Source organism: Homo sapiens, chromosome 10 (genome assembly GCF_000001405.40).
Source record: "Homo sapiens chromosome 10, GRCh38.p14 Primary Assembly".
Classification (NCBI taxonomy): domain Eukaryota; kingdom Metazoa; phylum Chordata; class Mammalia; order Primates; family Hominidae; genus Homo; species Homo sapiens.
Genome location: NC_000010.11, coordinates 69,402,922 through 69,425,397, shown reverse-complemented (window position 1 = coordinate 69,425,397; position 22,476 = coordinate 69,402,922). Strand labels below are relative to the sequence as shown.

The window sequence follows — 22,476 nt, the reverse complement described above, 5'->3', positions numbered from 1 at the left end:
ATTTGTTTAAGTTACTGTTACTTACAGCAAAAAGTATGCATGGTATCATATCCAAGTTGTTCCAGTGTGTTCATTCATCGGCGCACCATTCATTCATTTAATTAGAAGTTATCATTGAGCCAATCACAGTGGAGGACAGGGAGGATATGGCTGTCATCAAGGCTGTCATCAAGGCTGTCATCAAGGCTGTCATCATCATTCCTGGCTTTGTGGATTTCCTAGTATGGTAGGGAAAACACACTTTGAATACATGTGATGGATCAGGATGTTAACAAGAAAAAAAGCACAGGAATGCTATTAGAATGTAGAACAAAAATAGTTAACCTGTGGAAGCATCAAAGAAGTTCTTGAAGGCTAGTGTTTATTTAGAGTTACATGCCATCATAAAGGGTCCCCAAGATGTAAAATGCAGTGCCTCAAACAAGAGAGAAGTTTGTTTTGTTTTGTTTCCTTTATTATTTTTTTTTTCTAGACGGAGTTTCGAAAAACAGGCAAGACAGGGTCTCCCTGTGTTGCCCAGGCTGGAGTGCAATCTCAGCTCACTGCAACCACCACCTCCCGGGTTCAAGTGATTCTCCTGCCTGAGTCTCCCAAGTAGCTGGGATTACAGGTGCCCACCACCACGCCTGGCTAATTTTTTGTATTGTTATTAGAGATGGGATTTCTCCATGTTGGTCAGGCTGGTCTTGAACCCCCGACCTCAGGTGATCCACCTGCCTCGGCCTCCCAAAATTCTGGGATTACAGGTATGAGCCACCATGCCCAACCTGTTTCCTTTTTCTTTTTCACATAAGAGCCCTGAGACCTCCCCAGGCTCTGCCATCCTCAATATGGCTTCCCTCTGTGGATTCAAGATGGAAGTCCCTGTTGTTGCCACTGCCCTCCAGTAGGAAGTGGGGAGTCAGCAGCTCCCTCTTTAAAGATGAGACTGTGAAGTTTTGTGTGTGTGTGTGTGTGTGTGTGTGTGTGTGTGTGTGTCACTTCTGCCCACATCTCATTGGCCAGATCTTAATCATGTGACCACATGTAGCTTGGAAGGGAGTCTTGGAAATGCAGACTTTAGCTGGTCAGCCAGGTGACAGCTAACAGGCAGGGAGGTTCTGTTTCTAAAGGAAAGAAGGGGAAGTGGTTCCTGAGGGAGCGTGAGCCGTCCCAGCTGGTGAAGGAGCAGGGCTATTTCCTCTTAACCATGAGAACAATGAGTCTTTGAAGAGCTCAAAGCAGGAAGTACCTGGTCAGGTTGTGTTTTTGGAGAGATCACTGTGAGCAGACGTGGAGAATGGAGTAGAGGAGAGCGAGTGAATGCAGAAGGTAGTGAGGAGGCTATTGCAGCAAATCTGGTTGTAATGGTGACCTGGACCAGTGGGGATAGAAGGAAAAGCCTATATGGGTCCAGACACATTTTTGGCTGAGTGAAAAAATGTTATACAAAGTATGGCAAAGACTAGGTGGTATTCCAACATGAATTGAAGGCATGTAACACCTTACTTTATGGCTGTATTCCATTGGTCAGGGAGTCTTCCAAATCCCCCAGCTTTATGATGTCATTTTACTGGAATTGAACTGGAGCAACCTAAATTGATATCATGAGAACTAGTTAACTGTAATTTCAAACACAGCCAAGCCTGGGATGGGCTCTTGTCAGCTCCCCTACTATGATATGGGCAGGGAAAAAATGTTTTGCAAATTACCCCAAGTGTACCACCCCAGGGGCAACATCAGTGGTCAAGAAGGCCATATGGGGACTGGCGCAGTGGGTCACACTTGTAATCCTAGCACTTTGGGAGGCCGAGGCAGGAGGACCTTGAGCCCAGGAGTACAAGATCAGCCTGGGCAACACAGGGAGACCCTGTATCTAATTTTATAATAATAATAATTAAAAAAAGAAAGTCGTTTGACCCAAAGGTCACATGCATCCTCGAGGAGGTAGCATCTGAGGGGTCCTTGAAGGACTGGTAAGATGGCCTCAGACAAGGGGCCCCAGAAAGGGCATTCAAGGTTCTCTCCATCAGCCTTCACTCTCCCTCTCCAGGCTCATCTCTGGGCAGGAAATGGATATTCCAAAGCTTTAATATGGAAACCTAGCTTTAGTTTTTCCTGCCTTTCTTTGCCATGCTCCAGGGATGGAAGGCAAATATTTTTCTCCCTTCTTAGTAAGGTCTGAAGATGAAAGGTCTGCATGTCCTGGAGGAAAGCAGAATGGTTTTTTTGGTTGCCAGTATTCTCGGTCTTATCAAAGACATCATGAAAGAGCATGAAGGATGGTGGGATTTGGGGGAAGAAGCTGAATTTTTAACGAAGCAGGACTTCCAGAGAGGGCTGGGAGAAGAGAGGACCGTGGGGCCAGGAGAAGTGGGTGTTCAGTTCCTCCCCCTAGCAATGCCCTGAGAGGAATGGCCAAGATGGGAGAAGGAGAGGAGCTCTGGGAAGTTGGGCCTCCAGGACCCAATGCCCAACTAAGCGCCAAACTCCCAGGGCCCAGGATTGTCTCAGAAACAACAGCCCCCACCCCCTTCCTCAAGAACCCTGCAGAAATGGACAGCAGGCATCTCCAAAGTGACCTGTGTAGATTAATGACCAGTAAAGGCACACCCCAGATGCCCTGGCACTATGGACGGCACCAGGAGGGGGATAGTGGGAGCCCAGGAGTAATAAGTTGGATTTCCCTGCCAGCTGGACGAGATGAGGACTCAGAGTCAAGATCAAGTTGCTTTTCAGGGTATAAAGAAAGAGGATGTTTCTTGCACTCCTGGGGTTGTGACAAGATTTATACTTGCTGCAACTCTCATTACCCTCCTGAAGGAACCCTTGGCTCCCCCAGGCTACTCTGACCTTTCTCTCAGGATTGGGGCTCATTCCCATGTCCCCTCCCTCATGACCTCCCAGAGCCACTCAAGCTCACTCTCCGCCACCCCTAAAGACCTCTTCCTCCCTCCTCTGAAGCTTGAAGCTCACGCATCACCCATTTGACAGAAGGGTATGGTGAGTTCTCTCTGCAAGGCTGGGTCTTGGCTACCCAGCTTGTCCAGGAGCCTCCTGAAGGAGGAGATGTGACCCTTTCTTCTAATTCTGGGCTGAGCCTCGGAGCAGCTGCTCAGTGACAGACCCAACCACAACACACAGGACTGGAGCCTTTCAGCAGGCAGGCCCTTTTCCAACTCCTGTCCTCACCTCAGCCATGCCACAGCACGTGTTGCCACATCCGCCAGCACCCAGAGCAGACGCCAAGTTCCTTCTGTCTGCAATATCCAGGCTGGCTCTGGGATGACTCCCCCGTGACCCAACCAGCCAGTGGGTGTCAGGGCGTCCTCTCCTAAGACAAGCCTCACCCACTTCCTCCTCCACCTGCCATAGATGGACAGATTCTGCTGGAGCCCGATGTTGAGAAATGAGCACGTTTTGTGTTAAGAGCTCTGTGTACACCAGGACCACAGCAGATGTAAACACTCCAGCCTCTCTTCTCCAGCTAGATAAACTTCAGGCTTTCAGGGCAAGGCGCTGCCCCCAGCACACTCTCAGTGTTTAAAGAAGATGTCAGCTGCAGCCCGTGTTTTGGCAGAGGCCGACTCTCCCTCTCCCAGCTGAAGTCCCAAATTCTGGGCCACTGATGCCCAGGCCAAGGGGCAGGGGGCACAGAGCGCACCTTCTAAAGGGGCCGGCCTGGGGCCCTCTGGTTTACAGACTAAGAGGGGACTATCTATGAGAAATAAATCCAGGAGTGCTATAGACTCTGATGTCCTGCTACAAAATCCCTGCAGGACGTATGGAGAAATATTCTCTTACTTTAAGCTTTAGGGCCTGTAAAAATAAAAATGCTACCCATTCACCCCTAACAAGGTGATAATTTAGACTTTACTCATCATTTGTTATTCATTTATTCATTTGATGTTTATTGAGCATCTACCATGTACCAGTGTGCCAGGCATTATACGGCCCTGCCCACTTGAAATCCCACCATTAACTTAGAACTTTCATATCTGTATCACAAAGACATAGATATAAATAAATAAATAATGTACACATAAGATTCCCCATCCCTCACTGGAGTATTATTTTACATTTTATTCATCATTTTTATTCAACCAACCTTTATAGGACACTGACAACGTTCTGGCCACTCCTAGACACTGGAAACAAACAAGACGCGATCCAAGACCTGAGAAGCCTTGCCTGCCATCAGTGTGACAAGGAGGTGATCAAGGAAGTGGTTTCGATGGGCCTCCGGGACGTGGAGGCCGACAGAACAGTAAAGGCAAGACAAGGGGACGTGAGCCCCACCTCACTGGTGATGAAACCAGGCCTCGCCCTGCCCCTCTTGGGAGCTCCTGCACCTCTTTTTTTTTTTTTGAGATGGAATCTCAATCTGTCACCCAGGCTGGAGTGCAGTGGCTGCATCTCAGCTCCCTGCAACCTCCGCCTCCCGCATTCAAGTGATTCTCCTGCCTCAGCCTCCCGAGTAGCTGGGATTACAGGCACTTGCCACTGTACCTGGCTAATTTTTGTATTTTTAGTAGAGACAGGGTTTCACCATGTTGGCCAGGCTGGTCTCGAACTCCTGACTTCAGGTGATCCACCCACCTCAGCCTCCCAAAGTGCTGGGATTACAGGTGTGAGCCACCATACCCAGCCTCACTCCTCTTCTCTAATTGAGGAAATAGATAGGGGCTCCTGGGTCTTTGAATTTCATGGGCCAATATAATATTAAAAACCTATTGAGGGGGCCGGGCATGGTGGCTTACGCCTGTAATCCCACCACTTTGGGAGACTGAAGCAGGCAGATCACCTGAAGTCAGGAGTTCAAGACCAGCCTGGCCAACATGGTGAAACCTCGTCTCTACTGAAAATATAAAAATTAGCTGGGCATGGGGGTGGGCGCCTGTAATCCCAGCTACTCGGGAGGCTGAGGCAGGAGAATCGCTTGAACCTGGGAGGTGGAGGGTACAGTGAGCCAAGATTGTGCCACTGCACTCCAGCCTGGGCAACACAGTGAGACTCTGTCTCAAAAACAAACAAACAAAACAAAAACAACAACAACAACAACAAAAACCCTATTGAGGGAACCATACCGGTCACTGACTTTTTATTCCACCAAGTAAGGAATTTTAAAGAAAAAGCAAAACCAGGTCAACAACTACCATCCGCCATCCCCATTATTTCATGAAAGAACTCAAACAGCAGGAAGGGCATGGTCTCGGAATGAAGGACAGTCCATGGAACCAGATTCATCTAGCAGAATGAAAAGTGTTCTTCTTCTTGTCCTCATTTGGCCCCACCAGGAGCTCCCGCAAATACAGATGTGATCCTTCCTCCTGTCTCTGGGATGATCACTGGAGCAGCGGCTCAGGGTCAGACCCACCACCGGGCACAGGACTGGAGCCTTTCAGCAGAGGGGCTGACCCTTTGCCAACCCCACGTCCTCCTCTCACTTCGGCCACCTCCTGGCACCCCCAGCATTGCCCTGGTGACAGGGTGACCCTCAGCGCTAGTGTCCCGCGATGCTGTCTGTGACCTCTGAAGCTAGGGCCCAGAGCAGCCTCCCAAACAGAGATAGGCCACTCTCAAGAGCATCCCCCAGGCGCTGATAGCAACGCCTCATCCACAGTGCTTTCTGGAGCCGCCTTTCCTCTCCCACCCACTTCTCTCACACACCACAGCTCTCCCACCTTTTCTTCCTCAAACTCCCTGGAAGATCATTCCTCTCCCAACTCTGGTCTTTAAGCCTCTAGCCCAGAGGTCACAATTACACCAACCAGCAAGGCACAGTTGCCAGCGCACGCCCGTCTGAAGGAGTGGCTGCTGTCTAGCTGTGTGGACGTTGCCCTGCGCTTCCCAGGCCCCCTTCAAGCTGCCGGGCAGGCATATAGTACCAGCACCATGTTTAGCGTCCCCGACTGCAGGCCTCGCCTCAACTGCCTTGACAACAATCACATGATTTCTTGGGGTGGCCCACGTCCAGTGACCAATGTGGAAATATAAAGGCCTGGTTAACTTTGCCCCACACGGGGCAACTCTGAAGCTATCCCAGTTCCAATTACCCATGGGGTTACCAAGGCTATTGTAGGCCTGGACCACAGCACGATGCCGTGCTTCAGCCACACTTGCTTCCTGCCTTGTCTGCTGCCCCAAGTGTTGACCCCAGTGGTAGCTCCCTGAGAAACAGCTGGTGTGTTTCTTACACAGCAGGGTCTGCTTCCTGGATGCACGCAACTGGCACCATCAGCTCAGGTGTGCGATTACAGGTGTGAGCCACCGTGCCCGGCATTTTTTTTTCTCCTTTAAAAGGACTGGCCTTCCAGGCGCAGTGGCTCATGCCTGTAATCCCAGCACTTTGGGAGGCTGAGGCAGGTGGATCACCTGAGGTCAGGAGTTCAAGACCACCCTGACCAACATGGTGAAACCCTGTCTACTAAAAAAATACAAAAATTAGCCAGGTGTGGTGGCATACACCTGTAATCCCAGCTACTTAGGAGGCTGAGGCAGGAGAATCGCTTGAACCCAGGAGGCGGAGGTTGCAGTGAGCCAAGATCGTGCCATTGCACTCCAGCCTGGGCGACACTGTGAGACTCCATCTAAAATAATAAAATAAAATAAGGACTGGCCTTCGGGATCGCTGTCTAGCTATGGACTCAGAAGGCCAGTGCCAAGCAGCAAAGCTGATCAGGAACCCCTTCATCCTGGGTGGCCCGCATCTTCCCCTTTCACGAGGCTTCAAACCATAGCACATAGTTGGAAGGCTGCAAGAGCAGATAATTTAAGGGGAAAATAAAAACTCAGATGTACAAGCTCCAAAACATAATCCCCTTTACATAAACAGTGGAGGTGGCGGGATGTTGTGGGGAGGAAGGAACTTGAACTCTGCTGGGCTTCTGTGACTGGTGACAGGCGCTCAGGCATCCCAGCCCTGCACTGGGTTTGCACCTGAAGCTCAACAAATTCCCACTGCCTGGGAGCAGGAGGACAGCAAAAAGAGCAGGCTGTCTTGGGCTTCCATTCTTATTTCTACACATTCTGCTCTTTAGGACCCTGGCCAGATGGGCATGAGACAGAAGCAAACCCTAAAGTACTGCTACTGTTGCCGCCACCAACAGAGATCAAAGGCAGAGACCCTTCTGCTAGGGTCCAAAGTCCAAACAGGCCACTCCAGAGAGGAAACAGGCACACAGGCACACACCCACGGGAGGAGTAGGGGCCCAGGAAGCACTCCCTCCCCAAGGGCAAGGATGGGGTTCCCATTCGACCCAGCACATGCTCCTCACATCTGCACAGCAGGGAGACCAAACAATAGATACAATTTCAGTGTTGATTGTCGATGAACTTACCCAGAAGTTCATAATCAGAAAAATCCATAAAGAAGCTCTTTCAATTTCAGCATGTTTAAGTTTCATGACTTATGGTTTAGTGTTGTTTTTATATTGGATTCCATGGGTGGCATAATCTTTTCAGCACTAGAGACCTTTAAAGGTCTTTCTCAGCTCACCCCGGGAGACAAGGGCTGGGTGTCAGGAAAGTGACACACAGGGAGAAGCAGAAAATGGACTGGGAGTGTGGGGGCCGAGGCCCAGCCACGAGAAACCCAGGCGGTGCAAGGCAGAGCCCTGGGAGCACAGAGGCTGCTGTGCCGTGGGTTGCTGGTGAATGAGAAGCCTCCTCTGCTTTAATGAAGAACATGCCCCCCCGACTCCCGCTAATCCTGCCCTGCCTTCATGGTCCACACACCACAGGTGTGCACAGGTTCATGCGTGTGTGTGAGCTTAACACGTCAGCCGCACATACAGTTGCTCAGAAACATCTTCACTGCTTCACACACGTGCACACAGTCAATGACCAGGAGCAGGGATCTTGGGGCAAACCTAGAGCAGCTTCTCAGGAGTTAAAACTCCAGCTTTGCTGTGGTTCCCGGAAGAGCCCTGACTTTGTCCTAAGACAGTGGTTCTCAAAGTGAAGTGCTGGCTCCAGCAGCATCAGTATCACCTGGGAACTCGCTGGAAACGCTCCGGGTTCTGGCTTCTCCTCCTAGAGCGCCCAGAGCTGTGGGGTCCTCCCTTCGGGCCAGAAACTCCAATCATAGTTTTTATGTACCAACCCCTGTGCTAAGTAGACTTTGTGCACATTATCTCCATTTAAAATTCACAAATGTACTGTAAGATGCACACCATTTTTCTATATTTTTCAGATGGGGTAGACAGAGCTCAGAAAGGTTAAGAGACTTGCCTGGAGTCACCAAACCAGGCTCGAACTCCTTCTGTATTCAGAATCACTCTTCAGACGTAGCTCCTGTCCTGGGCTGAAAGTCAACATCCGCCGAGAGCTGGGCCCTCTGTACCAGCCCCATCTCCCCCAAGTCTCTCCCTGCCTCTGCAGCCAGTCCTAAATCTTTCAAGAGACAAGGCCAAGCAGGGGGTGGGACCAGGGGCGGGAGCCAAAGCCCCCCCTCGTGAGCAGGCAGCACCTCTGCCAAGGCCCCCACTGGCCCTGCCCCAGAGAACGGCAGGGAAGCTGCAGCGAGGGCTGGCAGCTGGCAGAGCCCTGAGCACCCAGCACCCAGCCCGGCTTGCAGCCCAAAGCCTGGAGAGAGGCTGCTGCGCCATTGACCTGTGGACTCCAGAGACTCCCGCTGTGCATTCCTCTGATCTGGAAGGTTTCCTGAATTACGTGACGAGAAACCTGGGTTCGAGTCCTAACTTGTCACCAACTTCCTGAGTGACCTGGGCTGGTCCCGTCCCCTCTTGGAATCTCTGTCTTCCATCTCTTCAGCGAAGGGGTTGATTTATAAGGGTGTTTTCTGCTCTGACACTGTGATTTGAATTCTGTGTTTCCACATGATATTCGAGAAGTCTGGCCGGAAGGATGGAATCTGAAATGACAATGGTTCTGGACTGGGCTTTGTGCTCAGCCCAGCTCATCTTTGCCTGAGACCTAGGAGTGGCCCCAGGCTCTCCTGATGTGCCACCACGCTTGGCATCTGCTCCTCTCCCTGCCCCCATATTCCCATGCTCTGAAGGGGAGTTCTCTTTCATAGCAAATCCGAGAGGAGCCGAGGAGCCAGGTCCTTTGTTCCAGACCCAGAAGCAGCCATGGGGACCTGTGACATTGTGACTGAAGCCAATATCTCATCTGGCCCTGAGAGCAACACCACGGGCATCACAGCCTTCTCCATGCCCAGCTGGCAACTGGCACTGTGGGCCACAGCCTACCTGGCCCTGGTGCTGGTGGCCGTGACGGGTAATGCCATCGTCATCTGGATCATCCTGGCCCATCGGAGGATGCGCACAGTCACCAACTACTTCATCGTCAATCTGGCGCTGGCTGACCTCTGCATGGCTGCCTTCAATGCCGCCTTCAACTTTGTCTATGCCAGCCACAACATCTGGTACTTTGGCCGTGCCTTCTGCTACTTCCAGAACCTCTTCCCCATCACAGCCATGTTTGTCAGCATCTACTCCATGACCGCCATTGCTGCCGACAGGCAAGAGGGTCCTTGGGGAAGCTGGGGGGAGCCTCCCCACTGAGCCGGGGCTCAGATAAGGGTGGTGACATGCCTGTGATTACACAGCAAGTTTGGGTAGAACCATGGGAATGGCTTCCCAAATCTGGTCATGGTCCAAAACTATGAATCTGGAAGGCAGGGGGACTGTGGAGCTGAAGAAGGTAGACTGAGGGTTAGACACAGAGAAGGACTTTGCACTAGATGCACTAGACAGGTTGTTCAAGTCTGTAGGGGAAGTGGGCAATGTTTTAGCGACCTTCTGAAGTGTTCTTTCCTGGAGTTGATCTTTGTTTTGTTGTCTTTATTTCACTCCAAAGATATGTCTTATACAGTTTTTTTTTTATTATTCCGGATAGATTACACGAGGGGAAAATGTTAAGTTTGCTTGCAGTTACAATCTAATAGGGCCAATTATTTTCCCAACGCTGCTCAGGGCTGAGCTTCAGGCTAATGTTGGATGCTTGATCTTGCCCTGAGATGGGCTTCCAGTGTGGCTTTCTTGTGGCCGTCCACGGGCATGTCCATGCCCAGAGGGAAATGGTGGGCCGAGGTGCCTGGGCCGGGGTTCCAAGGCATCAGTGTGCTGTGTGGCTGTGGGAGAGTCACCCAGCGGGCTCTCTGCAGGTCGGCTGATACTATGATATCAGCAGATGGCAGCAGTGCGGGGAATGGCTAGAAGGCGTGGGCCTGGGTTGGGAGAGAGGGAGACAGGGGAAAGGGAGCTGGGCTAACAGGAGGGCCCCTGCCGCTCAAGCTGCCCTCTGCTCACAGGTACATGGCCATCGTCCACCCCTTCCAGCCTCGGCTTTCAGCTCCCAGCACCAAGGCGGTTATTGCTGGCATCTGGCTGGTGGCTCTCGCCCTGGCCTCCCCTCAGTGCTTCTACTCCACCGTCACCATGGACCAGGGTGCCACCAAGTGCGTGGTGGCCTGGCCCGAAGACAGCGGGGGCAAGACGCTCCTCCTGTAAGGCCTCTGGGGGATTGTGGAGGGCAACAGTGTGTGTGTGTGAGTCTGTGTGTGTGTGTGTACACACGCGTGCATGCATCCATGTCCATGCATGTGTGGTGTGCATGCATGGGTGTACACATGAGTGAGTGTACACGGGATTGTGTGAATATACCTATATGCTTAGTAAGCAACACACACGATGTAGCCGATCTGTTTTTCACACTTTACATATATTGACCCATTTAATTCTCCTAACTATGTGGGATATATATTATATTATTATTCTTACCATTTTTTAGATGAAGAAACTGAGGCACTGAAAAACTAAGTAACATGCCCAAAACCACACAGCTAGTAATTCAAATCCAGCTAGTCATTTGAATCCAGCTATGGATTCAAATCTAAGCAATCCTGCCCAGGGCCCAATCTCCTCACCACTCTGCTACTCAAATATGCACCCTTGCATCCTTAGATAAGGATATGCATGCATGCACACGTGTATGTGACTGTACATGTCACGTGAACATGCGGCACCCATTTCTGCCTGTGTGTACACGTGCAAGTGTGTGGGCATATTTGTAGATGTGTTTGCACACAGGCACGTGTTAGGGACATGTGTAGGCGTGTGTCTGGGGGAGACTCTCTATATGCTCAGGCCACAAAGCGGCAGGAGACTGAGGCAGAACGAGTCCATGATGGAGCCTGGGACATTTTCAGGCTGCTGAGGTGGGCATCACAGGCTGGAGGCAGGGAGGGCAGGGTTAGAGGAATTCAGGCATGGCCCAGCTGCTGTGTGACCCTGGGTGAGTCCTTTCTCCATTCCGGCCTCAGTTTCTGAGGATCTCACGATGTGTCTTTGTGGTCCCCAGGCACTGAGCCATTGCTTGGTAGAGGCTAAAGAACCGACTGGGGTTCTGGGCTCAGTCAGGCCCAAGTCGTGGCCTGGTCCCACGTGGCCGGAGGATGCCTCACACTCACGTAACCTCTGAACCTCTGGCTTTCTCTCTCTAAAATGAGGATTCATAATAGTACCTCGCTCTGTGAGCATAAATGAGATAGTGTACCTGAAGCCCTTAGCACCATGCCTGGCACAGAACTGGTACCCAGTATGTGGCAGCTTAAATAGGGGACACATGAAAACACACCTGGGGGTGGCAGATCCTTCCCACAAAGTCCCAGCTGCCCCAAGCATGAGGGTGTGCATGGTCTGAGGTGAGGGCTGCCAGGTAGCCATGGCAACACACCTCTCCTCCAACATCCTCCCTGCCTGGTCTCCATCTGTCCTGAGCACCTGCCAGGAGAAGGCTGCTCTTGTGGGCTTCAGGGATAGGGAAGGTGCCATTCTTCTGAGAAGCCGTTCCTGGGGACTGGCGAGTCTCGAGGGCAGGCCCTGCCCAGGGTCTCTGCCCCCTCCCTGCACCCCACCCTCTCACGGAGGGCGATATCCATATATGGGGAATGCCCGGCTTTCTGGCTCAGCAAAGGGTGGAGAGCAGAACATATTGAGACCGGCCACTTGGGGTCGGTATTTCTCCATCTTCATACAGGACCACTGTGCGTGCCAGCTCTCTGAGAACAGCGAGTTCCATCCCAGATTCAGGCGACTGGGAAAAACAGGCGGGCAGGGGTGGGCTAGGAAAGCCATACTTTGGTGTTGCTTAAAATTCCGAAAGGATTTGGGGAAAGCCTGGTTTTAAGTGTGAGAATGTGTTATTGTTTTTCTTGGGGGAGAGCCTAATTTAGGATGAGGGCTCCATCCACACAGGCTCATGTAACTGTGTGTAATTAGGAATCTGATGAAATTAAAGATGCCCTCTTCAGGAACATGCGCACACACCCCCAAAATCAAAATACAAAAAGACTACCTTTGGGAGGCCAAGGTGGGCAGATCACCTGAGGTCAGGGGTTCAAGACCAGCCTGGCCAACGTGATGAAACCCTGTCTCTATTAAAAATATAAAAATTAGCTGGGCTTGATGGTGGGTGCCTGTAATCCCAGCTACTTGGGAGGCTGAGGCAGGAGAATCGCTTGAACCTGGGAGGTGGAGGTTGCAGTGAGCCAAGATCACACCATTGCCACCAGCCTGGGCGACAAGAGTGAAACTCCGTCTCAAAACAAAACAAACAAAGGCGGTCCCTGGAACTCTTCCCCTCTGCCTTCTGCATGGAGACCTAGCCCAGGGTGAATTCCTGTCCTGCACAACATCCTAGGAGCAAGCAACAGAGGAGTGTGGCTCCTGCTAAGGAAGGACTTAGAGATGGCCTCCTCCTTTTACAGATGGGGAAACTGAGGCTGAGGGAAAGCCCTGACTTGCCTAAGATCATGCTTTAAACAAGAGGCTGGACAAGAGCCCTGTACTGACTCCCACAGTGCTGACCCTCAGAAAAGGGGAAATTTGGTCATGATTAAATCTGTAGACGGGTATGACACAGACTTCCTGTGCCTCTCTGGGCCTCAGTTTCCTATCTGGACACTGAGATAGGTGGCCCTGTAGATCCTCACTCTGTAAGGTGATGGGCCCTGGCCCTCGTTGCCCCTCCTCCCCTCTTATCTGCTCCACACTGGGGTTCTCAACCCAAAGCCTACTTGAGGATCAGGGAGTCTAGGAGCGCCTGAACCTCTTGTAATTGGCATGCTTGCCAAAAGAACCCAAGCAGAATTCTAAACACAAGACTTTAGGAGAGAGATTTACTGGAGCCATTATAATCACCCAGTGGGTTCACCTTGCCTGCTGCCTAGACAGAAATTATTTATCAAGACAGGGGAATTGCAATGGAGAAAAAGTAATTAATGCAGAGCCTACTGTGCAGGAGACCAGAGTTTTATAATTACTCAAATCAGGCCAGGCGCGGTGGCTCACGCCTGTAATCCCAGCACTTTGGGAGGCCAAGGCAGTGGTCAGGAGTTCAAGACTAGCCTGGCCAACATGGTAAAACCCTGTCTCTACTAAAAATACAAAAATTAGTAGGGCGTGGTGGCAGGCACCTGTAATCTCAGCTACTTGGGAGGCTGAGGCAGGAGGATCACTTGAATCTGGGAGGTGGAGGTTGTGGTGAGCCAAGACCCCACCATTGCACTCCAGCCTGGGCAACAAGAACAAAGCTCCATCTCAAAAAAAACAAAATCAAATCAGTCTCCCTTAGCATTCAGGAATCAGAGTCTTTAAAGATAATTTGGCAGCTAGGGCCTTGGCAAATGGGGAATGCTGATTGGTCGGGTTGGAGATGGAATCACAGGGGGTCGAAATGAGGTTTTCTCGCTGTCTTCTGTTCCTGGGTGTGATAGCAGAACTGGTTGAGTCAGATTACCCGGTCTGGGTGGTGTCAGCTGATCCACTGAGTGCAGGCTCTGCAAAACATCTCAAGCACTGATCTTAGGTTTTACAATAGTGATGTTGCCCCCAAGGAATTTGGGGGAGGTTCAAACTCTTGGAGCCAGAGGCTGCATGACCCCTAAATAATTTCTATCCTTGTAGCTAAGTTGTTAGTCCTGGAAAGGCAGATTGGATCCCAGGCAAGAAGGGGGTCTTTTCAGGAAAGGGCTGTTATCAATTTTGCTTCAGAGTAAAATCATGAACTGAATTCCTTCCCAAAGATAGCTCGGCCTACACCCAGGCATGAACAAGGACAGCTTAAGGATTAGAAGCAAGATAGAGTTGGTTAGGTCTGATTTCTTTCACTGTCGTAATTTCCTCGTTATTTTTGCAAAGGTGGTTTCACCATGGGTCCCCTTCCCTTGGGGTAGCAGCACCTCTAGAAAGGGGCGCAGCAAGCCTAGCATGTGGCAGGTAGAAGCAGGAGGTTTGGGAACACCTCAGTCCTCCCAGTAAGAAAGAAAAAGTCAAATGACGGGACCAGGGGTCTCAGGCCCATTGGTGGAATGCTCTAAGGACTCTGTTCCATGAAAGGGACCCCCAAATGCCAAAGGAGCCCAGACCCAAAGAAGGAGGCAGAACAAATCCAGTTTGTCAATATTGGGTGATTTATTGAGGGAATTTACAGACCGAAGTGGGATCTTGGGTGGCCACAAGACAGGTGGAGCTCTGCATTCTCACACCCCAGATGCAAGGCTTAGATACCATAGGGAAAGGGTATTCGTGCTCCAGCAAGACAACCAAAGGCAGCCCTCCAGAACAGGCAAGAACGCTACGTGAGTCACAGCCTACGATTTGTGGAGTAACATCAAGGTTGACATGTTCTTACACTAGGGGCAGTAAATAAAGTAGAAATCAGAAGGCATTCACAAGACTGGGGCGAATCGGAAGTCAACACAGGGGAGTGGCATCCAAGATGGAGTCACTTTTGTCTCCACAGGTTCCCACTGCAGACCTGCCGAGGAGTCAGTCCCCAGCCTGCAGCTCATCAGAGAGAGGCTGCAGCGTCACTCATAAACCAGAGATCTGAGAACTGGGGACACTGTCGTTTTTTTGTTTTTTTTTTTTGACAGGGTCTCACTCTATCGCCCAGGCTAGGGTGCAGTGGCCCAATCATAGCTCATTACAGCCTCGATCTCCTGGGCTCAAGTGAACCTCTTGCCTCAGCCTCCTGAGTAGCTGGAATTACAGGTGTGCCCCATTACGCCTGGCTAATTTTTTTAATTTTTTTTAATAGAGATAGGGTCTCACTATCTTGCCCAGGTTGGTCTCAAATTCCTGGGCTCAAGCAGTCCTCCCATCCTGGTCTCCCAAAGTTTAGGGATTACAGGCATGAGCCACCACGCCTGGCCTACACTGTTTCCAAAAGGAAATGAAAAGCCTCAACACAACCCAGTGTCCTCCCTGGGGACGGGGTAGGAAGCCACGCAATGGTACTCTGCATCACTTCCTCAAAGGTGGTATGAAAGAGCATTTGCTGACACAAACGAGGTTCCCAGCCAAATGCTGATAAACCATAAGCAGATGACACAGCAGCATGTGATATATGGCGCTTTTCCACTGTCCCATGCCTCCATAGCGATGTTGGTGCAGATGGAGCCTTATTAACACCAGTCATTCTATCCATCCAGACAGATACAGATTATATATATATATATATATATATATATATATATATATATGTATATATATATATGTATATATGTATATATATATATATACATATACATATACATATACGTATACGTATACATATATGGCTATACTGTAGGATACACTCCAAGACACCCGGTGGATGCTTGAAACTTCAGATAGCACTGAATTCTCTCTATATAGATATATACTGTTTTTTTCCTCAACATACCTATGATAAAGTTTAATTTATAAATTAGGCACAGTAAGAGATTAACAGTAACTAGTAATAAAACAGAACAAGTATAACAATATACTGTAATTAAACTTCTGTGAATGAGGTCTCTCCCTCTCAAAATATCTTGTTGTACTCTCCTCCCCTATTTTGGATCCGCAGTTGGGAGGGGTTACTGAAACCCGGGAAAGTGAAACTCCCATCAGGGGTGACTACTATTCATACATATGATTCTGGAAAAAATATGCCAGATATTAATAGTTAATGTTAATAGTGGTGGGAGTGGGATAATTTTACTGCCTCCTTTGTGCTTAATGGCATTTTAAATTGCAAACAAATTATTTCTTAATTTGTTTCATTCACTTTTCCTTTTTTTGACACGTGTCTATCACGTGGAAGGATGTGATATGGAAGGACGCAGGGCTACTGCTGGCGTCCCTTTTGCAGGGAAGCCGTCTCCTGGCACACAGGCTACCCAATGCCACCTTTATTTTTGTTTAAATCAAACCAAGTCCCTGGGAGGCGCCCAGGGTGGGCCCGCAGGGGCGGCTCCACAGTGCCCGCGGGGTCCCAGGACCAGGCGCTGGCAGACTTCGGAGTCGCCCCCGGGCCCTCCGCTGCCCAGGCCTCGGCTCTCCCTGCAGGTACCACCTCGTGGTGATCGCCCTCATCTACTTCCTGCCGCTCGCGGTGATGTTTGTAGCCTACAGCGTCATCGGCCTCACGCTCTGGAGGCGCGCAGTGCCCGGACATCAGGCGCACGGTGCCAACCTGCGCCACCTGCAGGCCATGAAGAAGGTGGGCGCGGGGGCGGGGGCCTGGAGGGGGCGGGGCCTGGAGGGGGCGGGGGGCTGGCGGGGGCGAGGCCTCATGGGGGCGGGGCCGGACGGGGTGGGACGGGGGTGGGACGGGGGCGGGACGGGGGCGGGACGGGGCCTGACCCCGCCCTGGGGAGCCGCCCTTACGGTCTCAAGGCCGGTCCGCAAGAGGGCGCCCGGGAGAAGCTTGCGGAAGCTGCCTTCGCGCGAAGTCTGGGGCCAGAGCCTGACCGCGTTCCTCCCAGCCGGGCGGATTTGCCTTTGGTCTTTGGCCAAATACAAAATTAAAGAAACTTGCCGGGCGCGGCGGCTCACGCCTGTAATCCCAGCTCTCAGGGAGGCAGAGGCGGGAGGATAGCTTGAGCCCAGGAGTTCGAGACCTGCCTGGGCAACATAGCGAGACCCCGTTCTCCACAAAAAGGAAGAAAAAAAAAAGACAAAAAAAAATTAACTTCCCAGAATGTTAGGGGAGTCAGGGACTCCTAAAGCCCCGTAGAATTCAGATACCCCCAAGAATCTTAGAATGATAAAATATTAAAATCTTAGACTTTTTGAATAATCAGAATGTTGAAATTGAGAAGCCCCACAGAACTATAGAAGGTGCCTGACAGTCACAGGAGAGCCCTCAAAGGCTGGAACTGCGGACCCCGGAGGTCGTGGAGACCAGATAGTTGTCCAGCTTCATCAAATCTGTCTCCAGTTTCTTCCGGAAGTGGCAGTGTCCCCCTACTCCCTGCCATCCAGGGTCCCCCGAAGGTCCTGATGTAGCCCTCTGTGCCCAAGACCCCCTTCACCCTCCTTCAGTCCAAGCTTGTCCTTGCCCCCTTCCTACCAGGCAACAGGGGAGGTAATGGGTTAACCACATCATGTAGCCAGGTCAAAGCCATGCTTCTCACCCAAAAGTAGGCATCTTTCACAGGGTGGTTCGGGGAGATAGCTGCACATGGGCGCCATCTGGTGCCCCTCATGGAGCACTGGCCTCCATCTGCTCCACACTAGGGGTCTCAACCCAGATCCTACGTGAGGATCAGGGTGCCCAGGAGCCCCCAGACCTTTTGTAATTGGCATGCTGGGCTGCCAAACGGAGCAGGAGTGTGCCTGCAGGGGCCAGGCTCTGAGGAGGGGGAGGTCCAGGAGCTGACCCGTGGGCAGAGGCAGGGGTCCCTGGTTGGAACCTTACAGCCCACAGAGAGAAGGGCTGTGCCGATACGGATCCCAGAGAGGGGGCGTCCTGGGAACGCATAGCTGACACAGGGGCTCCCCCAGGGATGGGGTTAGGAGAGAGAGCTCAGCCACTCTCCAGGGAGGGGGAGCTGCAGTGAATGAAGGGGTCCCAGACACCTTTTGTAGGAAGTGGCCATTGAGCTGGGCTTCAAGGAGTGAGGACTTCAAAGGAAGGATGGCAGTATGGGCAGAGGGACCTGCCTGAGCACAGGCCTCTGAGGTTGGGGGCTCAGGAAGGTCTGGGCAAAACATGCTCAGAGGCCTGAGTAATAGAGCTAACGGGGTCTGTGTGTGGAGCAGTTCCCAGGTGGGTGCAAGGGGTCCTCTGTGTCTGCCCTCGGAGGGCTGGGGCTGGGGCTTGGGCACTAAGAAGTAACTTGAGCCTCTCCTGGACCAGTTTGTGAAGACCATGGTGCTGGTGGTGCTGACGTTTGCCATCTGCTGGCTGCCCTACCACCTCTACTTCATCCTGGGCAGCTTCCAGGAGGACATCTACTGCCACAAGTTCATCCAGCAAGTCTACCTGGCACTCTTCTGGTTGGCCATGAGCTCTACCATGTACAATCCCATCATCTACTGCTGTCTCAACCACAGGTGAGCCCCCACTCCAGCCCCACCCTCTGCCCTCAGGGCCCCACTGCCCAGCCCCAGGTGGGCTCCCCTGCACAGCTCAAGCATCCATCCTCATTCCTGCCGGAACCTGTGGCCCTGTGCCCCCAGCCTACATGAGAAAGCCGTCCTCACACTCAGCCCCCAGCACAATAATCCCTCTGGCCTGGGCCTAGCTTGAGCCCCCTTCCTCCCCAAATCCTCACCGTCTCCCAGGCTGTAGCTCTCACTGTCTGTCTGTTCCTGCTGGCTCTTCTGGGTTCTGTGTCTGGGGCAAGAGAAGAGAGAAGGGAGGGCCAGAGAGATGAAGGGGAGGGGAGAGTCACAGAGAGGGGGTGGGACAGACAGACGAAGGAAAGAAAAGCTAAGTAGCGGGAGGGAGGGACTGACTTCTGTTCTAGTATTTTCACAAGCTTCCTACTGAGGGCTTTCCTGGAGCCAAGTGAATGGCACCCATCCGGCAGTGGAAGCAGTGGATGGGGGCTGGGGCCAGCACAGGGGTGGGGCAGGCTGCTCCCTGGAAAGCTCACAGTGCATGCCCTGTCCTCCAGGGACTTTCAGGGCAGCTGGGAAGTGACCCTGTCAGAGACAGCCAGGAAGGAGGGGGCCAGAATCTCACTCTCCTGGCATCATCCAGTTTCCCTACGCCTCGTGATTCTGAGGAAATGAGTCCCAGAGAGGGGCCTGCACTTGCTCTGGGGCACCTGGAGAGGTGGGGGGTGGTGAGTCAGGGAGGAACCCAGCCCCAGGAGTTCTGCAGAGCAGGCCTTTCAGTGGCAGGAAACCCTGAAGGTGGGGCAAATAAGGGGCGGCAAGAGGTGGACACAGTCTCACCTCAGTGAGACAATGATGTGGGCGAAGTTGGCCTTGGACCTCTTTGTTCATGTTTTTTGTCACCTCCCTGGCCAGGTAGCCAGGCTACTCATAATGCCATTGGGATCTTTGTGGCTCAGACATTTCACCCGCCTGGGGCAGGCCAAAAGGAAATAAGGAGCTATGATTTTTTGCAGGAGGCCAGAACTCTCTATCTCCTGAGAGGGAAGTAGATAATAGGAGAGAAGCAGGTGTCACCCCCACTCTACAGATGGGGAAACTGAGCTTCAGAAAGTAAGATGCTCCCAAATTCATACAACAAACAGTAAAGCCAGGACTCCATGGGTCTCCAAGGCCTGTCATCTTATCCCCACACCACGCATTTCTCTTTTAAAGACTTGTGGGATTGAAAACCTGGAGACAGGGACTCTGACATCTGGGAGGGGCCACCAGCCCACTGTGTCTGTGGGTTGATCACTCTCCTGCTACCCAAGGGAGATACAGTCCCTGGGAGTCTAAACAACACCCCAGGCTCTACAAGATCCTGACATCACTTCTGGATCATTCCCTTCTCTGAGCAGCCAGCGTTCCCTTTCTGCCGTCTGATTTCTTCCACTCACCGTGTGTGCTTCCTCTGAACTCCCGTTCAGTGCTGCCATGGGGAGAGCTGTTTGTTTTCAAGCAAATGCATCAGAACTTGGTGGCTCCGAGTGTGGGTTTTTCAATGTAGTCCCCTTGGGAAAAGCATCCTTGTTCTCCCAAGTTGCCAAAGCCTCCATTGTGTTTTAGCAGGTTCTTCTTTGACTCATCCCTTAGAAGCCAGTTAACAAGTCAGACAAGAACATCTGCTGGTTTTTTTGTTTGTTTGTTGGTTGGTTGGTTTTTTTAGTAATTATGCTGGGGTCATTTTTTGTTCGTAATAACAGATGACCTAAATCAGCTTAGTCACCCACTTCATTCACTAGACCCAGCTCCAGAACACTCTGGCAGTTTCCAAAAATCAAACTCACCCACGAAGGCATCTCTCAAGAGCCCCTGAGCCATGGGAGGCTCTTGGAGAGAGACAGTGACTTTCCTCTGGAAGGGAGTCAGTTTCCTGGGGGTGGGGGCAGTCACATCACAGCTCCTGAGCCCCTAACTCCCTGGCTCAAGGTGCCCCTCGCTCCCCCAGGTTTCGCTCTGGATTCCGGCTTGCCTTCCGCTGCTGCCCATGGGTCACACCCACCAAGGAAGATAAGCTCGAGCTGACTCCCACGACCTCCCTCTCCACGAGAGTCAACAGGTGTCACACTAAGGAGACTTTGTTCATGGCTGGGGACACAGCCCCCTCCGAGGCTACCAGTGGGGAGGCGGGGCGTCCCCAGGATGGATCAGGGCTATGGTTTGGGTATGGTTTGCTTGCCCCCACCAAAACTCATGTTGAAATTTGATCCCAATGTGGCAGTGTTGGGAGGTAGGGGTTAGTGGGAGGTGTTTGGGTATTGGGGATGGATCCCTTATGAATAGATTAATGCCTTCCAGTTGAAGTGAATCATCACTCTTGTGGGAATGGACTAGTTCCCAAAATAACAAGTTGTTAGAAAGAGTGTGGTGTCCTCAGTTTCCCTGTCTTGCTTCCTCTCTCACCATGTGATCTCTTTGCACACAACACTTCCCTTCCACTTTCCACCATGACAAGAAGCAGCCTGAGGCCTTCACCAGATGCAGCTGCCCAATCTTGGATATTCCAGCCACCAGAATCATGAGCCAAATAAACCTCTTTTCTTTATAAATTACCTAGTCTCAGGTATTCCATGAAAGCAACACAAATGGACTGAGATAGGTGCCTATTGAACCCTGAAGCCTTGTGCCTGGCTGCAGAATGAGGTGTAGCACCCTTTGAGAAGTAGCCAATCGAGAAGACCACATCTGAAAGTTCAGCTCATGCCCCATCCTTCAGTATACCAATACAAAGACAACATGGGGCCAGAACTCCAGAAAGGATGCTGACTTTAAGAGGACTCAGCCACCCATCTCAGAGAGCACTTCAGAGGATCCAGTAAGGGTCAGAAAAGACAGTGTAAGCTGATATTTATCTAATTTAAGAGATGCAAGCTCAAATGCCTTCCTGGGGCATACAAGAATATGTATAAAAGAAAAACTGCAAATGTGATGATAAAAGGCAACTGACTTCCACCCTCAGTTTGAGCTAATAGGGAATGGTGGGGGCCATGGCAACCTGGAGAGGACAGGCATTCAAAGGGGACAAGAACTACTCAGCTCTGGACAAACGTTGCCACATGATAATGGGAGCCCACTGTTGCTAGATCTTCTAAATCTTTCAAGAGAAGCTATAAATCCACATTTGTATGTGAGTCTTCCAGATTTGTTGAATTTGACCCAAATTTTCATAAACTTTGCATAAGTTAAACAAAACGTATCTGTGGGCAATGCAACCATGACCCTGATTCGCCATCAGGCTGTGGATACAAAGGAGGAAACTTCTTATTTCACAAAGCCCAGTGACTGAGTCAGCTGAGGGCTTCTCTGTCTCAGTATTTAAGAAGTCAGATACAGCCCACGTAGATGGTGATTAAGAGCCAAAAAAATCAGCTGTGTTTCCTCAGGCAAGTCACTTTGACCTCTGCCCAGTATCAAAACTACTTCACAGGGATGCTGTGAGGAACAATGGGAGTAATGCCTATAAACTAGCAGGCCAGACCAGATTAAGTGCCCAATACATGGTAGCCAGGACTTTCTTTTTTTTTTTTTTTTTTTTTATGAGACAGGGTCTCACCTCACTCTGAGACCCAGGCAGGAGTGCAGTGGCACCATCATGATTCAGTGCAGCCTCAACCTCCTGGGCTCAGGGGATCCTCCTGCCTCAGTCTCCCCTGTAGCTGGGACCACAGATACATACCACCACACCCAGCTAGTTTTTAAGTTTTTTGTAGATATGGGGTCTTGCTATGTTGCCCAGGCTGGTCTTGAACTCCTGGGCTCAACCATTCCTCCTGCCTGTCTCCTGAAGTGGTGGGATTACAGATGTGAGCCACCACACCTGGCTGTTAGCCATGACTTTTAACTATTTCACACAAAAGCCACCTACAAAGCAGCAGCACAGCTCCCACTCCCACTTCTGCAGCAAGAAGCTAGAGGGCAGAAAGCAGCAACTGTCCCAACTCCCAGAAAGCTCCCGGTCTGGCCCAGCCCATCCCAGGGGCACACCTCCTGCTTGCCAACTCAGCCTCCACGCCCTGGTTCCCCTGCAGAAGAGCCATGTAACATTGTCAATGCACACTGGAAGGTGTAATGTTATCTGTGTTCTCCAAAAAATCACTGCTCCGTAGACACC

General features: G+C 51.3%; 1 protein-coding gene across 1 annotated transcript, besides 4 other annotated features; it reads left to right on the top strand.

Moving 5' to 3' along the window:
* Positions 6,931-7,225: an enhancer, noted in NCBI's record as "tiled region #2430; HepG2 Activating DNase matched - State 5:Enh". NCBI's record gives its function as "activates a minimal TATA promoter and a strong SV40 promoter by Sharpr-MPRA in HepG2 cells {active_cell/tissue: HepG2}" and the evidence as "EXISTENCE:reporter gene assay evidence [ECO:0000049][PMID:27701403]".
* Positions 7,976-8,710: an enhancer, noted in NCBI's record as "H3K4me1 hESC enhancer chr10:71176444-71177178 (GRCh37/hg19 assembly coordinates)". NCBI's record gives its function as "activates a minimal SCP1, AML or CMV promoter by ChIP-STARR-seq in naive H9 embryonic stem cells {active_cell/tissue: H9 hESC(naive)}" and the evidence as "EXISTENCE:reporter gene assay evidence [ECO:0000049][PMID:30033119]".
* TACR2 (tachykinin receptor 2) lies at positions 8,480-21,495 on the top strand. Its single transcript, NM_001057.3, has 5 exons — positions 8,480-9,466; positions 10,259-10,453; positions 16,323-16,476; positions 18,118-18,314; positions 20,314-21,495. Exons 1-5 carry the CDS (start codon positions 9,075-9,077, stop codon positions 20,570-20,572), a joined length of 1,197 nt encoding a protein of 398 aa, NP_001048.2. The 5' UTR covers positions 8,480-9,074; the 3' UTR covers positions 20,573-21,495.
* Positions 16,095-16,194: a silencer, noted in NCBI's record as "silent region_2433". NCBI's record gives its function as "represses an Ori minimal core promoter by ATAC-STARR-seq in GM12878 lymphoblastoid cells {active_cell/tissue: GM12878}" and the evidence as "EXISTENCE:reporter gene assay evidence [ECO:0000049][PMID:35858748]".
* Positions 16,485-16,764: a silencer, noted in NCBI's record as "silent region_2432". NCBI's record gives its function as "represses an Ori minimal core promoter by ATAC-STARR-seq in GM12878 lymphoblastoid cells {active_cell/tissue: GM12878}" and the evidence as "EXISTENCE:reporter gene assay evidence [ECO:0000049][PMID:35858748]".

Coding starts and splice junctions, on each gene's coding strand:
- TACR2 (NM_001057.3), top strand. CDS start 9,075: ATGGGGACCTGTGACATTGTGACTGAAGCCAATATCTCATCTGGCCCT. Junction 16,477..18,117: donor ACCTGCAGGCCATGAAGAAG/GTGGGCGCGGGG, acceptor CTCCTGGACCAG/TTTGTGAAGACCATGGTGCT. Junction 18,315..20,313: donor TACTGCTGTCTCAACCACAG/GTGAGCCCCCAC, acceptor TCGCTCCCCCAG/GTTTCGCTCTGGATTCCGGC.